At 41.5% G+C, this 1,777-nt stretch overlaps 2 annotated features.

Moving 5' to 3' along the window:
- Positions 994-1,163: an enhancer, noted in NCBI's record as "experimental_61891 CRE fragment used in MPRA reporter constructs". NCBI's record gives its function as "activates a minimal promoter by MPRAs in K562 erythroleukemia cells, with activity observed for the non-introgressed 21:28462554 or rs117927596 variant allele {active_cell/tissue: K562}" and the evidence as "EXISTENCE:reporter gene assay evidence [ECO:0000049][PMID:34662402]".
- Position 1,078: a transcriptional cis regulatory region, noted in NCBI's record as "Neanderthal adaptively introgressed variant 21:28462554 (GRCh37/hg19 assembly coordinates) or rs117927596 in the experimental_61891 CRE". NCBI's record gives its function as "modulates activity of the experimental_61891 enhancer by MPRAs in K562 erythroleukemia cells {active_cell/tissue: K562}" and the evidence as "EXISTENCE:reporter gene assay evidence [ECO:0000049][PMID:34662402]".

Here is a 1,777-nt window from a genome sequence, read left to right as displayed (position 1 = left end):
TGATCTGTCAAAATTAACAAAAGAAAGACAAGTGTTTAATAGACAAGAATGCTAGGCTTCTGGAGGGGCGCTGCATTTAAATATGCTTTAGCAATCTTAAAACATATCAATGAAATGAGCAGTGCTTTATAACACTAGCTGCAGTAATAAATCAAACTCAAGAATCCATTGGCTTAATGTAATAGAAATGGATTACTTTTTCACATAATAGACCAATGCATGTGTCCTTGGAGTTGTAGACATCTGCTTTAGCCTCTCCTTAGGGAGCCAGCTGATTTCTATTTTGCATTTTTTTTTTTTTTGAGACCGAGTCTCGCCCTGTCCCCCAGGCTGGAGTGCAGTGGCGCGATCTCGGCTCACCGCAAGCTCCGCCTCCCAGGTTCACGCCATTCTCCTGCCTCAGCCTCCCGAGTAGCTGGGATTACAGGCGCCCGCCACCACACCCGGCTAATTTTATTTGTATTTTTAGTAGAGACGGGGTTTCACCGTGTTAGCCAGGATGGTCTCGATCTCGTGACCTCATGATCCGCCCGCCCTGGCCTCCCAAATTGCTGGGATTACAGGTGTGAGCCACCGCACTCGGTCTCTATTTTGCATTTTTAATTGTTGACTTTCTAGGCTGACTATGCATTAAAGTCAGGTGATAAGACAGGAAAGAAAATGTGAAAATGGCACACTTTCATGTTAAAGGTGACTTACTCTGCTCACGTTTCATTGGTAAGAACTAGTCACATGATCCCAAAAAAATGCAAAGAAGCCTGGGCAAAAAAAAAGTCCCTAGCTAGGAAGCTGCTTCCTACCAACAGCTCAGTACCAAGAATCAAAAACTACAGGCTTGGGTCAGATCCAGCCTCCTGCCTATTTTTATATGGCCTGCCAGCCAAGAATGTGTTTTACAGTTTTAAATGGTTGTTATTAAAGTACCTACATAATGTCCCCTATTTTACCTCTTGGCCTGCAAAGTGTCAAATATTTACTTTTTGGAACTTGACCGAAAAATTTGCTGACCCTTTCCTATGCAAAGGGAAAAAAACTGACTTGAGAGGCAGATTGCTGGAATATTCAGCCCTTGTAGCCTCTCAGTGTCTATGTGTGGACTCCCTCCCACATACAGAACTCTTATACTTCTCTCTAGGGAACTACATTAAGTGTTATCCCATTACAGCATCCAGCTCAAAGTCTAGGATCTCTGTCCTCCAATCCAGATAGGGTTCTTCATAAACCAGAAAATAATAAATTATGTTATCATCAACTTTTATGCATTTGCTCACAGTCAATATAAAACAACAGAGCAAGGATCGGTGCGAGAAAAATCATCATCCATGACAAGGAAAATAGGAGATTCAGTAGCAACATACACAGAAATCATGGAAAAACACAAGAAGGTGCAAATGTCCTAGCACTGGGAGTATTTGAGTAGATCCTAATTCTACTTCTAGGAGAAATATCCTTGTTCATTGTTCTCCATAGCCCGTAACTCTGCCTTCTGGAAATTTCTTCCTTAAATGTTATTCTCCATGCCACATCTGAAGTAGACATTAGGAAGTCATGCCCTCATAGCAGGCTCCTCAGATTTCCATGCTCACTTGTTTCTTCTGAAATTTCGGGAGTGGACCCAAGTGTTATTTAAAGATTTTAATACTCAGAGTACTGGGCTTATGGCTTCTTTGTAATATAGCTCCCTTCAAAATCTTCATGGCCCATGAATTGTGGATGCCAGATAAAACAGAGTGCCCACAGTTTAATTTGAATTTCAGATAAACCACAAATAATGTTT

This window comes from Homo sapiens, chromosome 21, assembly GCF_000001405.40.
Source record: "Homo sapiens chromosome 21, GRCh38.p14 Primary Assembly".
NCBI classification, from domain to species: Eukaryota; Metazoa; Chordata; class Mammalia; order Primates; family Hominidae; genus Homo; species Homo sapiens.
The sequence above is the reverse complement of the archived record's forward strand: the minus strand, read 5'-3'. Positions and strand labels throughout refer to the sequence as shown.